Raw genomic sequence first — 15,865 nt, 5'->3', positions numbered from 1 at the left:
CTCTTCATTCAATAGCAAGACAGAGCTGGGCCTGGTGGCTCAGGCCTGTAATCTCAGCACTTTAGGAGGCTAAGGCAGGTGGATCACTTGAAGTCAGGAGCTTGAGACCAGCCTGGTCAACATGGCGAAAATCTGTCCCTACTAAAAATACAAAAAATTAGCTGGGTGTGGTGGCACATGTCTGTAATCCCAGCTACTTGGGAGGCTGAGGCACAAGAATCACTTGAGCCCAGGAGGTGGAGGTTGCAGTGAACCGATATCGTGCCACTGCACTCTAGCCTGGGCAACAGGCTTTTTTTTTCTGTCTCAGAAAAGCAAGACAGAAAGTTGTAAGCTCGTGTAGCTGGAAAAGTTTCTGAGAAAAGGTAATAATAAATGTGTTTGCTCAAAATGAGGATTTTAATCCCCTTCCGCCAGGGACCTCTGACAAAGCTGGGGCACCTTTAATTTTTCTGGAGCCTTTCAGCTGGTCTTATACATACTCCCTAGGGGAACCGATGGGGCTTTCAAACAGTCATCACCTCTGGTTGGTTGGTACAGTGTCTGAGAGTCTCTATATTCTTCACACTTTTGGGTGGGTCCCCCTATAATGTCTCTAAAATGCAAAGAACTCTGGGAAGCTCTATGTCAGAGACTCAACTTGATGATGACTGCAAGAAGTCATAGGAGAAGGTAAAGTGATTTTTGTTTATTTTTAAATAAACAAAATGATGGGAGAAACCTGAACATTTAAAAATGGTGGGAGGCTGGGTGCAGTGACTCACTCCTGTAATCCAAACACTTTGTGAGGCCAAGGTGGGAGGATTGCTTAATCCCAGGAGTTCAAGACCACTGGACAACACAGTGAGATCTCCATCTCTACAAAAAAGAAAAAATTAGCCAGGCATGGTGGTGCACCTGTTGTCTCAGTTACTCGGGAGGCGAGGCAGGAGAACTGCTTGAGCCCAAGAGGTAGAGGCTGCAGTGAGCCATGATCACGTTAATTGCACTCTAGCCCAGGCAACAGATTGGGACCTCATCTCAGAAAATAAGTAATAATAATAATGATCGAAATGAGCCAGTGAGAGGAAGGGCTGAAGATACAGGGGAAGAAATAATTAAAGGAACAAGTTTCTGGAGAAATCAGAAGGTGAGTGAAAACAGAACTAAGACATGCAGTAAGAAGGAAGAGGCAAGAAATCTGTTTGTAAAATTGTATAGCAACAATAATCATCATAATTTTTCTAGGGCTGGGTTTTGACATGTTATAATCATCTGGAGGGAATCTTTTTCCCTGCAGAAAAGTCTTCTCTACCATGACAGCTGCTTCGGTTTTGTGAATGATTGCCTGTTCAGAAGCCTGTGAATGCCTAGATTTAAAAGGTAGACAGAGGCACTGGAGAAAGGACATCCTTTTCAATAAATGGTGCTGGGAAAATTGAATAGCCATATGCAGAAGAATAAAACTGGACCCCTATCCCTCACTGTATACACAAATCAACTCAAGATGGATTAAAGTCTTAAATGTAAGACCTGAAACTATAAAAATCCTAGAAGATAATCTAGGGAAAACTCTTCTGGACATTGGTCTAGGCAAAGAATTCATGACTAAGTCCTCAAAAGCACAAGGAAGAAAAGCAGACAAATTAGACTTAATGAAATTTAAAAGCTTCTGCACAGCAAAAGAAATAATCAACAGAATGAACAGACAAGTTGCAGAATGGGAGAAAATATTTGCACATATGCATTTGACAGGAAGTAATACCCAGAATTTACAAGGAACTCTAACAACTCAACAACAACAATAAAGAAAAATCCACAAATAATCCCATTTAAAAGGGGGACATAAATAGACATTTTTCAAAAGAGGACATACAAATGGTCAACAAACATGAGAAAATGGGCAATCATTAGAGAAGTGCAAATTACAACCACAATGAGATATCATCTTACAACAGTCAGAATGGCTATTATTAAATGTGGTTAGTACAACCTTTATGGAAAACAGTATGGAGATTTCTCAAAGAACTAAAAATGAAGCTACCATTTGATCTTACAATTCCAGTAGATACTGAGTATCTACTCAAAGGAAAAGAAATCATTCCATCAAAAAGACACCTGCACTTATATGTTTATTGCAGCATTATTCACAATAGCGAAGATATGGAATCAACCTAAATGTTCATCAATGGATGACTGGATAAAGAAAATGTGGTATATATACATATACACAATGGAGTACTATTTAGCCATAAAAAAAGAATGAAGTCATGCCTTTTGCAGCAACATAAATGGAGCTGAGGGCCATTATCTTAAGTGAAACAATTCAGAAACTAAAAGACAAATAATGCATGTTACTATTTATAAGTGGGAGCTAGAATATGTACATACAGGCATAGAGTATAAAATGGTAGACACTGGAGACTCTGAAGGGTGGGGTGCTGGAAGGAAGGTGAGGGGTGATAAATTACTTAATGAGTAGAATGTCTGTTATTCAGTTGATGAATACGCTGAAAGCCCTGACTTTACCACTGTGCGATATACTCATGCAACAAAACTGCACTTTTATGCCATAAATTTATACAAAATTTTAAAAAGCAAGCAGAGATGTGTTGCTATGCATAGGGCAGAGGGCTTAAAATTTGGGTGGAAGAAAGGGTAATGCAGAGAGAGTGAGACCCAAGAACTGGCCCTGAAGAGTAACTTTGAGCGAAAACCAAAACCCCTAATGGGAATTTAATTAAGCTGGCTGCCATGATGTATGCAAGGTTCTTCTCATCCATCTTCCTGGGAATTCTTAAGTAGAATCAAAGAGCTCAGTCATGCTTTATGATATGGGCTTGCTTTAGGGAAGGGTTTACAAACTTTCACTGAGTCTCAATCTTCAGGGATGGTATAGAAATAAACTTGAGGCCATCATGGGGAAATAGACATGTAAAGTGTGCCTACATATCATTTTTTCATAAAACGACCCATGCTTTTTTAGAATTTTATCTCTGCTACATTAATGTATTTTCCAAAGGGTACCTTTGTAGTTTGGTTTTCAGATAACCATTTTCATTTTGGTAAGACAGTGGCCATAGAAAAAAGCATTCTTTAGAGGTAATGTGGGATTAGAAAATAAAGGAATCAGCCTTAGGCTGTACCTTTTCTAAGCTATATTTCTTTTCTAGACATTCAATTCTTAGGCACCAGCCTTTGAAGATGATCAGTTGCACAAAGTGTCCAAAATGATGAATAATCCCCAAACCTCCTCATCCACCACTGTGACTTTACTTGGTCTCACTTATACTGTGGGTCAGCCTTGTGAACATAGATGAAATGGGCCTCCTGATGTCCTCCACACCTTTGTTTTAATAATAAAATTAAGGCCAGGCATGGTGGCTCACACCTGTAATCCCAGCACTTTGGGAGGCTGAGGTGGGTGGATCACCTGAGGTAGGGAGTTTGAGACCAGCCTGACCAACATGGAGAGACTCCATCTCTACTAAAAATACAAAATTATCCGGGCATGGTGGCGCATGCCTGCAATCCTAGCTACTCGGGAGGCTGAGGCAGGAGAATTGCTTGAACCCAGGAGGCAGAGGTTGCAGTGAGCCGAGATCCCACCATTGCACTCCAGCCTGGACAACAAGAGGGAAACTCCGTCTCCAAATAAATAAATAAATATAATAATAATAAAACTAAAATTGTTCCAGATCCTGTGACAAGCTTTTGTTCCCCTAATATGAGTTCTCCCCTTCCATTAGTATTAAACCTCACATTTTAGCTGAGTACATAACCACTCAAAATAAAAACAATGCTTCTCCATATCCCTTGCACTTAATGTGGCCAATGGAACATAAGCAGAGATGTTTTCTAGAGCTACTTAGAAATTTAGTGTACTTGGAAACACACCCCATTTCCTCTTCTTTATTCTACCTGGCTGGAATGTATATGTGATATGGAGCTACAGCGTCCATCTTAGCTGTCAAATCCCCATGCTGAGAACTGTCAGAAATCCCAGATCCTTCTCCCTTGAGTCAAGGATAAGTAAAACAAGCGTGCTTTACAGAGCAGATAACCATGTGAAGTGTTGCTGAGAATGGGCAGAATGAGGCAAGTGAAAAATCAGAGGCTAAACCCCTCGAGGGGAAGGCCTCACTGACCTCCTCCCCCAGGCTGAACAATCCTGAGAGGTGCGAAACACATCAGCCCTACTACATCAAGCCACACCCACCCCAATTTTGAAACGTGTGAATCACAGCTAAACTTGAACCTGGACTTGGCTCTGTACTCATCCACAACTGTTAAGTGTGGACCTACACTAAAGCACAGCCCCAAACAGGGAAGCTGGAATTCAGGGCCAAGATGTAGCCAGACTCCAAAACACCATGTGAGTGGGAGAAGGGGTGAAAGACACATGCAACAGACAATGTTGCCCCTTTTGACGACCAATTCCTGAATGTCTCTTCACTATTTAGATGAATTTCCACCTCTCAGTATAAAACCAAGGATGCTAGAATATCACTCCCCTGCTGTGGTGCTGAGAAGCAAGGATCCTGTTGAACCGGGTTTGGCAGAGTTGTGGGGGCCAGGACAGCTTCACTCAGTTTCCGGCGCAGCAGGTGGACCAGCAGGGCTCGTGACACCACGGGGCTCCTGCAGCGTCGTGTGCTCAAGCACAGAGTTCTGCAGAGCAATTATGGGCATTTTCCTGCTACACAAACCTTGAGCCTGCCTCTCCGGCTCTTTATCTGCCTGCTCCTATTTCTTGAAGTCCCAGAATTGGGCTTTGTGATGGTTTTTATGTGTCTGTGCCACAGAACATCCAGACATCTGGTCAAACATTATTCTAGGTGTTTCTGTGAGGGTATTTTTTGGTGAGGTTGACATTTAAACCAGTAGACAGAGTAGGGCAGATTTTTTCTCCCATTGTGGGTGGGTCCCTGGATGGGTGCCATCTAGTCAACTGAAGACCTGAAGAGAACAAAAAGGCCAACCCTCCCACCATCAGTAAGTAGGGAGTTCCTCCTGCCTGATGGCCTTGAAAAACACTTGTTTCTTTCCTGCCTTTGGACTTGAATTGAAACATCAGCTCTCATGGGTCTCAAACCTGTTGGCACTGAGACTAGAACTGTACCATTGGCTCTCTTGGGTCTCCAGCTTGCCAACTACACACCTTGAGACTTCTCATCCTCCATAATTTCATGAGTCAATGCCTTATAATAAATCTCCCCCTTCACCTTGAACTAACACAGGACCAACCAGACTGGTTTCTGTTGCTTGTGACTAACTACCCTGCTTAACAAAGACAGAGATTGGCTCTGGGAATGGTTGCTGGCATCAGGCTCTCAGGGAAACAAAAAAAAAGTCTGGAACTATAAGAAAAAGGCAAGTTATTAAAAAATGGGCAAAAGTCTTTGCATAAAGGATATCCAAATGGACAACAAGCATATTTTAACAGTGTTCAACCTAGAAAAATGGAAATTAAGGTGAAATGCAAATTAAAGCCATAATGAAAAAGCACTATACACCCAACAAAACTGGCCCACTGGAAAGGATGGAAAATCCTGGTGAGAGCGTGGAGCAACCAGAATGTTCATGTGCTGCTTACAAGAGTGTTACAATTTTGGAAAACTGCTTGGAATACCTTCTAAAGCTGGAATACGCACATTCTGTGACCCAGTAATCCCATCCCAAGTAATACAGCCAATACACACAAGACATGCAACAGAATGTTTATAGCAGCTCTACTCACAGTAGCCCCAAAGGGGACGCTACCCAAATTCACACCAAGAGTACAGTGGATAAATAAACCATATTTGCAGGATGGAATACTCTAGGGATTAGCAAGCTACAGCTCATTGCCTGTTTTTGTACAGCTTGAGAGTTAAGAATCATTTTTGTATTTTCAAAGTGTTGTAACTAATCTCTGAACCTCACAGAAGAGAACAAGAAGAGGAGGAGGAGGAGGAGGAAGAAAATGTGACAAAGATCACATGTGGCTTGCAAAACCTAAACTATTCATTATTTGGCCCTTTATAAAGTTTTCTGACTCCTACAATACTCTACAGCAAGCTTGTCCAGGCCGCATGAGGCCCAGGACGGCTTTGAATGCGGCCCAACACAAATTCGTCAACTTTCTTAAAATATTATGAGATTTTCTTTCCAATTTATTTTTAGCTCATCAGCTATTGTTAGCATCAGTGTATTCTACATGTGGCCCCAGACAATTCTTCTTCTTCGACTGTGGCCCGGGGAAGCCAAAAGATTGGACGCCCTGCTCTATAGCAATAAAAATAAGCAACAAACATAATGTTGAGAAAAGCTAGACACAAGAATACATATACCGTGTAATTATATTTATAAAAACAGCAAACCCAGGTAGAACTAGTCTGAGCTGTTGGAAATTAGGATCGTGGCTGCCCTGAGGGCAGGAGGCAGTGGCTGGAAAGGAGGCGAAGGGGTTTCTGGGGCCTTGGTACTGTGCCATTCCTCCATGTGAGTGTTAGTTACACAAATGTGTTGTTTGAGAAAAACATTTAATTTCAATTTCTGCAATTTTCTGTATGTTCACTGGGCTTCATTAAAAGGTTCAAAACAAAAAAGCACACCACCTTTTCCCACCACACTCAAAATCACTACACAGGTGTAGCCTCTATGGTGGGGGGAGAAGGGAGGGGCTTCAAAACCAATAAACAAACAAGAACGGGGTTAAATATCTACTGAAGTGAGACTGTTTAAGAGCAAAGTGGAATCTAAATTGTCATTTCCCTACATGTCAGGAAACGGGCGTTCAACATAGCCCAGAAATAGGTCCACACAAACAGAGTCAACTGACATTTGACAAAGGAGCAAAGGCAGTTCCATGGAGCAAAGACAGTCTTTTGAACAATTGGCTCTGGAGCAACTAGACACCCACAGGCAAAAGAATGAATCTAGACACAGAACCTCACAAAAATTAACTCAAAGGGAATCATAGACCTAAATGCAAAACACAAAACATCTGTGGGATACCAAAGGAGAAAATCTAGGTAATCTTAGACTTGGTGGTAAGCTTTTAGATACATCACCAAAAGCATAATCCATGAAAGAAAAAAATTGTTAAGTTGGACTTCATTAAAATTAAAAACTTCTGGCTGGGAGCAGTGGCTCACACCTGTAATCCCAGCAATTTGGGAGGCCGAGGAGGCCAGATCACTTGAGGTCAGGAGTTTGAGACCAGCCTGGTTAACATGGTGAGACCCCGTCCCTACTAAAAATACAAAAAGTAATCAGATGTTGTGGTGCATGCCTGTAGTCCCACCTACTTGGGAGGCTGAGGCAGGAGAATCACTTGAACCCAGGAGGCAGAGGCTGCAGTGAGCCAAGATCATGCCACTGCGCCTTAGCTTGGCTGACAGAGTGAGACTCCATCTCAACAACAACAACAACAACAAAAATTAAAAACTTCTGTTCTGCAAGAGACACTGTATGTGACTGAGAAGACAAGCACCTGTGTCCAAAATATGCAAGGAACCATCAAAACTTAACAATAGGAAACAACTCAGTTTAAAAATGGGCAAAGGACATGAGCAGACATCTCACCAAAGGAGATACACAGATGGCAAATAAGCATATGAAAAGATGTTCAACATCACACCATAAGAGAATTGCAAATTAAAATAAGATACCACTACACATCTATTAGAATGGCCTTAATCCAGAACACTGACATCACCAAATGCTAGTGAGGATATGGGGCAACAGGAATTAACATTCACAGCTGGTAAGGATGCAAAATGGGACAACCACTTTAGAAGACAGTTTGGAAGTTTCTCGCAATGTTAAACATAATCTTATATGATCCAGCAATTGTGCTCCTAGATATTAACCCAATTCAGTTGAAAACCTATGTCTTTACAGAAACCTGCACACAAATATTTATAGTAGCTTTATTAATAATTACACCAAACTGAAAGCAACCAAGATGTTTTTCAGTAGGTGAATGATAAGCAAATGGTGATACAACCAGACAATTAAATAGTATTCATCAATTTAAAAAAATGAGCAATCAAGCTACCAGAAGACATAGTGGCTTTCTCTTTTCAGGAAGAACCTGAAAAGCATATTGCTAAGGGAAAGAAGCCAACCTGAATGATTCCAACTATAACACATTCTGGAAAAGGCAAAACTATGGAGACAGTAAAAAAGTTCGATGGTTACCAGGGGTTGGTGGGAGGGAGGAATGCATAGGTGGAGAACAGGGGATTTTTTTTTTTTTAATTGATCATTCTTGGGTGTTTCTCACAGAGGGGGATTTGGCAGGGTCATAGGACAATAGTGGAGGGAAGGTCAGCAGATAAACAAGTGAACAAAGGTCTCTGGTTTTCCTAGGCAGAGGACCCTGAGGCCTTCCGCAGTGTTTGTGTCCCTGGGTACTTGAGATTAGGGAGTGGTGATGACTCTTAAGGAGCATGCTGCCTTCAAGCATCTGTTTAACAAAGCACATCTTGCACCGCCCTTAATCCATTTAACCCTGAGTGGACACAGCACATGTTTCAGAGAGCACAGGGTTGGGGGGTAAGGTCACAGATCAACAGGATCCCAAGGCAGAAGAATTTTTCTTAGTACAGAACAAAATGAAAAGTCTCCCATGTCTACTTCTTTCCACACAGACACGGCAACCATCCGATTTCTCAATCTTTTCCCCACCTTTCCCCGCTTTCTATTCCACAAAACCGCCATTGTCATCATGGCCCGTTCTCAATGAGCTGTTGGGCACACCTCCCAGACGGGGTGGTGGCCGGGCAGAGGGGCTCCTCACTTCCCAGAAGGGGTGGCCGGGCAGAGGCGCCCCTCACCTCCCGGACGGGGCGGCTGGCCGGGCGGGGGGCTGACCCCCCCCACCTCCCTCCCGGACGGGGCGGCTGGCCGGGCGGGGGGCTGACCCCCTACCTCCCTCCCGGACGGAGCGGCTGGCCGGGCAGAGGGGCTCCTCACTTCCCAGTAGGGATGGCTGGGCAGAGGCGCCCCTCACCTCCCTGACGGGGCGGCTGGCCGGGCGGGGGGCTGACCCCCCCACCTCCCTCCCGGACGGGGCGGCTGCCGGGCGGAGACGCTCCTCACTTCCCAGACGGGGTGGCTGCCGGGCGGAGGGGCTCCTCACTTCTCAGACGGGGCGGTTGCCAGGTGGAGGGTCTCCTCCCTTCTCAGATGGGGCGGCTGGGCAGAGACGCTCCTCACCTCCCAGACGGGGTCGCGGCCGGGCAGAGGCGCTCCCCACATACCAGACGGGGCGGCGGGGCAAAGGCGCTCCCCACATCTCAGACGATGGGCGGCCGGGCAGAGATGCTCCTCACTTCCTAGATGGGATGGCGGCCGGGAAGAGGCGCTCCTCACTTCCTAGATGGGATGGCGGCCGGGCAGAGACGCTCCTCACTTTCCAGACTGGGCAGCCAGGCAGAGGGGCTCCTCACATCCCAGACGATGGGCGGCCAGGCAGAGACGCTCCTCACTTCCTAGACGGGGTGGCGGCCGGGCAGAGGCTGCACTCTGGGCACTTTGGGAGGCCAAGGCAGGCGGCTGGGAGGTGGAGGTTGTAGCGAGCCGAGATCACGCCACTGCACTCCAGCCTGGGCACCATCGAGCACTGAGTGAACCAGATACCGTCTGCAATCCCGGCACCTCCGGAGGCCGAGGCTGGCGGATCACTCGCGGTTAGGAGCTGGAGACCAGCCCGGCCAACACAGCGAAACCCCGTCTCCACCAAAAAAATAGGAAAACCAGTCAGGCGTGGCGGATCGCAGGCACTCGGCAGGCTGAGACAGGAGAATCAGGCAGGGAGGTTGCAGTGAGCCGAGATGGCAGCAGTACAGTCCAGCTTTGGCTCGGCATCAGAGGGAGACCGTGGAAAGAGAGGGAGAGGGAGACCGTGGGGAGAGGCAGACCGTGGGGAGAGGGAGACCGAGAGGGAGAGGGAGAGGGAGAGGGAGAGGGAGAACAGGGGATTTTTAGGGCAGTGAGGCTGTTCTGTACACTATAATGGTGGATACTTGTCATTATGTGTTTGCCACGACCCATAAAATGTAAAACCCCAAGAGTGAAACCTATGAAAACTCTTAACTCTGGTTAATAATAATTCATCAATATTGGCTCCTCAATTGTAACAAATGTATCACACTTGCAAGATGTTAATCACAGGGAAACTGTGTGGGTGCAGAGAGTGTATATGGGAATTCTTTGTACTTTCTGTGCAATTTTTCTGAAAACCTAAAAATACTCTTTTCAAAATTCTATTAAGAATTTAAAAAAAGAAAGTTGGTGAAGTGATATGGAATCTGGCCAAGCTGTCATTTCTTGAAGCAGTAGAAAACGAAGGTTCACAAAGCACAGTTCGAGGGGCAAATAAGGAAAGCAAGACCCTCTTGTTTACAGCTCAACCAAGATTGTAACTCACTAAAGCAATTACATCCATCCATTGCAGATGAGCAAAGCGGATTTCAGAGCCTTTGGTGATGCATCCAAGGCCCCGCAATGGGGAGGTGGCAGAGGCTGGATTTCAGTGCAGCTCTTCTTACTGCAAAGATCTGTATCATGCACCACTCTGAACCCACCAGCCTCCACTGATGGAGGAGGCACCCCTGGATGAGGAGATATAAAAATCAGGTACTTTGATATGACTTGCACATAGCAGGTGTTCCTATATTACTGTTTTACATGAATTGGAAAAAAAAGAAAAGAAAAGGAAAAAAGAACGTTTCGTACTAGAGTGAGCATTTGGGAAAGAATCAATATCCCTCACTCACTATGGAGATGAAAATAAAAAGTAGAGGGCTGTAAAAGCAGACCAACTCTGACCACGGTGGTTTAAATACTGTATTTAGGGGAAAATGAAGCATAGTCTAAAAATAGTCCCCTTCTCGGGTGGGTGAGTGGCAGCGAGGACCACCCACCCGTCCTGACTGCCAGACCACAGTAGCCCCATGAGTGAGGGTCCCATTGTTCAGCACTAATTTTTACTGTTAAGAGCAGATGCAGTTACAAGGCTCATTAAGGCTGTTAGGGCATGGTCTGCTGTTTTTCTGAAAACATCCAGTACAAAGAGTGCGACTTGAGGCTGAATGTGGAGCTCGGGCCAGCAGCTCTGCAGAGTGCCTACTCCCACCGCCACCAATGCGCCCTGGTCCTCCTATGCGAGGAGGAGAGTCAGCCGGCACACAAACGTGCGCTCATGGTCGCCACGCTGAGCCCGCAGGGACTGCTTTGAATGTTTGCTTTTTGCTGAACAGCAAGAGGTCGCTGCCCGGGCCTGCACCGCTCTTTGGAGAAACACAATGTCCTGGTGGCTCCCAGTTCTGCACTCTGCAAGCTGGCATTGCGCGGGGGCCTACCCTCTGACAACTAATTCCGGAAATGTCTGAGGCCACCGCGAAGGAGGCTGTGCAGAGGCTCTGTGTTAACACAATCTGGAGGCAGGTGACATTAAACTGTGTGAGGGTGGGCGAAAGCCCTTGCCCCTAGGAATACAAGCCTCATTCTAGGCAGTTTCCCTTGTTCTGTAAACTCTGAGTTTAGATACTGATGTGAGAGGAGTATAAGGACGGATCATGCTCCCAGGTACCCCCGAGCCCCATCCAGGGAGCGGCGGATGCAGCCATGAGGCCACAGGGGGCAGGGCAGATGGCCCCTCCTGCCTCTAAGCCTCCTGAGGATCTTGTCAGATGGTGACCACATCCTTCCTGCCTGCTGAATTTTGCACTAAGCTTCTCTCTCTCATGCACATTAGTCTGGCATTTCCAAGACCGAGTTCCGGAGGATAGCATGGGATGAGCAATACAGGGTCTAAACTGTTAAGGTCTCAATCGTAATAAACATTGCAGAACCCCTGCTATGAGTCTAGGACTTTGTCCATTTCCGCTACATTTTCAAACCTATTGGCATAATTCACTTATCTTTTTAATGATGGTAAGATCATTAGCAAAAATTTGCTTCATAGTGCCTGACCACTGATTATTATTTTAGCTTTTTAGTTCCTTTTTTCCCCTAACAGGCTTGCCAGGGAGTTGAGCTTCATTCACCTCCTAAAAGAACCGCTCTTTGGCCCTCTTCAGCCTCCTTTGTGTGTTAATTTTTCTAAGTCATTATTTTTGGCTTGTATCCTTGTGTATCCTTACTTCTACTTTCTTTGATTTTCCTGTTCTTCTCCCCCCAGACTTTATGACAGATTCTTAGCACATTGATTTTTAGCCTTCATTCTTTTCTAATATAAACTTCAAGGTTATAATTTTTTGCCAAGCATGGCTTTAACTGCATTCCACAAGTTTTGATATACAATATTTCATAATAATGTATTTTAAAATATTTTCTAATTTCCATTATGATTTCTTCTTTGTCCCATAGGTTCTTTAGAAAAGTACTGCTTAATTTCCAAACACAAAATAATTTTCTGGTTATCTTTTTGTTATTGATTTTTAGCTTAATTGCATTGAAGTGAAAAAAACATCTAATTTTTATCCTTTGAAAATTTTCCAGACTTGTTTAACAGCTCAACATATGGTCAGCGTGTCACAGCATCCTTAAAAAGATGTGTGTTCTACAGCTCTTAAATGCAGTCTTCTACATATGTTCATTAGTTCAAGTTTGCTGATTACAGAATATTATTCATTCTGTATTCCTCTATATTCTTAATAAATATTTATCCATTTATTTTATCAATATCTGATAAAAAGATATTAAAATATCTCACAATGAGTATGAATTTGTCTTTTTATCCTTTTTATTCCACAACATTTTGCTTTATATATTTTGAAGCTATATTATTCTGTGTACATAAATCATGAGAATGATTGTATCTTTCTGGAAAATTAAACCTTTTATTATTATGAATTGTCTGTCTTTATCTAGGATAATACCGATCATGCATTTTATCCTAAAGGAAAAGATGTCTAATATTAATAGAGCAATATGAGCTTTCATTTGGTTAGGGTTTGGATGCTACATCTTTTTAAATTCCTTTCTTTCAGCCTTTCTGTATCTTCCTTATATTTTAGTTGCTCTCATAAAAAGTATATAGTCTGACCAACTTTGTATTAATGAAAACATTTCATTTACGGTTAATGAAATTGTACATTTTAGATTATTTTTATTATCTCATTTCCGTCTCTATTAGCTTAGAAATTGCACATTTTTCATATTCATCTAGTGGTTACCATAGTGATTATAATAACAGTCTAAAGGTGTGAAAGTCTGATATTAATTGGCTTATCTGCTGACTCCTGCTGTGGCCTGTTTCCTGTTCCTTTTCTGTCTAGAGCCCTGGACTGTTGAGTGTGTTTAACCAGATGTCCCGGCAGGGCCAGAGCTGAGGCTCCAATTATCCAGCAGGTGGAGTCTTTGCTTTCTTAAGGATCTATTTGTACCCACGATTTTCGGTTGGTGAGTGCACTCAATCTTTATCTACAACTTGCAACCAGATATCCACAGATCATCACCATGATCTGATACTCATGATGCAGATGGCAGAACAGTCAGATTTCAGGAGAGAGCTCAAGGCTCCTCAGAAAAAAATGCACCACCCAGGAGAAGGGGCTGGACTAGGGTTAGAGACCATCTCTAGGCCAAGGTTCTAGAGGGTGCTGGACTTGGACTTGTCCAAGTGTGGACCTGGGTGGGTATGTGACCTGGAAACATGTGGATCCACCTACTAGCGGGGACCTCCCAGGGTGGCTGGTTTCTCTTCCCCCTGAAGGGCATCGCTGACAAACCCTCTGTGGTCAGAGGAAGATCTGAGCCAGCAGGAGGGGCAATGGTAGTCCTCCTAGTCCTCCGCAAAGGGCAAGTGGTCACCTGGCACACCATGCAGAGATGCTCAGAAATATTCGGGATGGCGCCATGAGATCTGTCAGTGCTCCTGTGATTGCTTTTATCCCAGTGGATAATCCAGACACATGAGTGTCTGTGCAAGAAAAGGAGGCCATGATCTAAGTTGAAAAGATCCACGTGGGGATATTTTGTCTCACAGATTGTAAGAAAGGGGTATGGAAATCCCCAGGCAACAGTGTGCTCCTCAGCTTGCTGAAACAGACCAAAGACTATGTTCTAATCAAACCTTCCAGGAATCTCATGGAAATTTCATTTAATGCCTCTCCAGGCACTTTTCTGAAAGCCCCCACGTTAGGGATGTCTTGGCTAAGACATCTCTCATGGTATCCACAGCAACCCTGATGAAGCTCATTTCTGGAGAAGAAGAAAGTCTCTCAACACCTCTGCTAAGTCATCATTCTCCCATCCTCACTGCAGCAGTTCCTGGAATCTCATGAAGGGAAGCTGGGACCCACCGCACACCCTCTGCAATACCTCACAGTAACTTGGAAATGCCGACTCAATTCACAGGCAGCCACGGTGGGAAAGAAAAAACTCTAAGCTCAGGTGCTGGGAGGGCAAATCCCATCAGTCACAACCTTTTCCTGAGAAGATAGCAGTAGACAGGGCCCTGAACAAAGGGTCACACTCCAGTTGTTGAGAGTTGACTCTGAACAGCTTTTAAGCCTCACCCCTCTGCCCTATGGCTGGTCAGGAAGCCCAGAGCTCTCATCTTTGGTACCTGGGGGAGACTAAAAGCATGCGAGCACCTGCCTGCAGGACCCTCACTCACTCTGACCAGCTCCCTAAACACCACAAAAACCCCACGCCAGTCTCCTTTCTCTGCTCTCTCAAGGCATGTGGGGCCTGCTGGGTGCCTGCCCTGCTGTCTCCAGAAAGCCTCATTATGTGCGTCATAAACCTCCTCCTGGACCCTCTTGGGGTGTGTGTGTGTGTGTGTGTGCGTGTGCGTGCGTGTGTGTGTGGTGTGTGGTCTCCCTCGTCTCCATGTCTGGGCTCAGCTTTGAGTGGGGGTCCCTCCTGCTTCTCGAGTGCCCAAACAAGGTCACAGGGACTGGCCCACACTGGGTTCTGAGCCAACATGTCAGCGGGAATGTCTGTCACTGACCCCTAAGCCCAGGGGTGCTTGCTTGTTCATTTCGTGCTGTACTTTGGGGACCAAGGAGCAGTGGGGTCCAAGCAACTGGCAGCTTTCAGTGAGAGAGGGTTACTCAGAGCATGCAGGGTTATTGGAACCACCTGTGCTAAATGTCGTAAAGCTGAAAAAATGGGGCCAGTTGTGGTGGCTCATGCCTGTAATCCCAACACTTTGGGAGGCTGAGGCGGGTGGATCACCTGAGGTCAGGAGTTCGAGACCAGCCTGGCCAACATGGCGAAACCCCATCTCTACTAAAAGTACAAAAATCAGCCAGGTATGGTGGTGGGTGCCTGTAATCCCAGCTACTCTGGAGGCTGAAGCCTGAGAATTGCTTGAATCTAGGAGGCGGAGATTGCAGTAAGCCGTGATTGTGCCACTGCACTCCAGCCTGGGTGACAGAGTGAGACTCCATCTCAAAAAAAAAAAAAAGAAAAAGAAAAAAATGGCCCAGTGCAATGGCTCACGCCTGTAATCTCAGCACTTTGGGAAGCCAAGGCGTTTGAGCTCAGGAGTTTAAGACCAGCCTGGAAAACATAGGAAGACCCTGTCTCTAAAAAAAAATACAAAAATTAGCTGGGTGTGCTGGTGCTCGCCTGTGGTCCCAGCTACTTGGGAGGCTGATGTGGGAGGATCTCTTGAGCCTAGGAAGTCAAGGCTGCAGTAAGCCAAGATTATACCACTTACCCCCAGCCTGGGTGACAGAGTGACACTCTGTCAAAAAAAAAAAAAAAAGATGAAAAAATGAATATGTGACCACTCCCACTACCAACTAAAACATCCCCCAGAGCAGTTTCCTGGCCCATGGCTAAGATCTAGACTCTCACCACCAGGACCTCCCCATGTTCTCTACTCTGGCACACACAGCCCTGGAGCAGGGATGCCCCTACCCTGCCCGCTGCCCTC

At 45.1% G+C, this 15,865-nt stretch overlaps 1 annotated feature.

Annotated features, from left to right (window-relative positions):
* Positions 11,532-11,621: an enhancer, noted in NCBI's record as "active region_7493". NCBI's record gives its function as "activates an Ori minimal core promoter by ATAC-STARR-seq in GM12878 lymphoblastoid cells {active_cell/tissue: GM12878}" and the evidence as "EXISTENCE:reporter gene assay evidence [ECO:0000049][PMID:35858748]".

This window comes from Homo sapiens, chromosome 13 (genome assembly GCF_000001405.40).
Source record: "Homo sapiens chromosome 13, GRCh38.p14 Primary Assembly".
Classification (NCBI taxonomy): Eukaryota; Metazoa; Chordata; class Mammalia; order Primates; family Hominidae; genus Homo; species Homo sapiens.
This window is presented reverse-complemented; position numbering and strand designations above follow the sequence as displayed.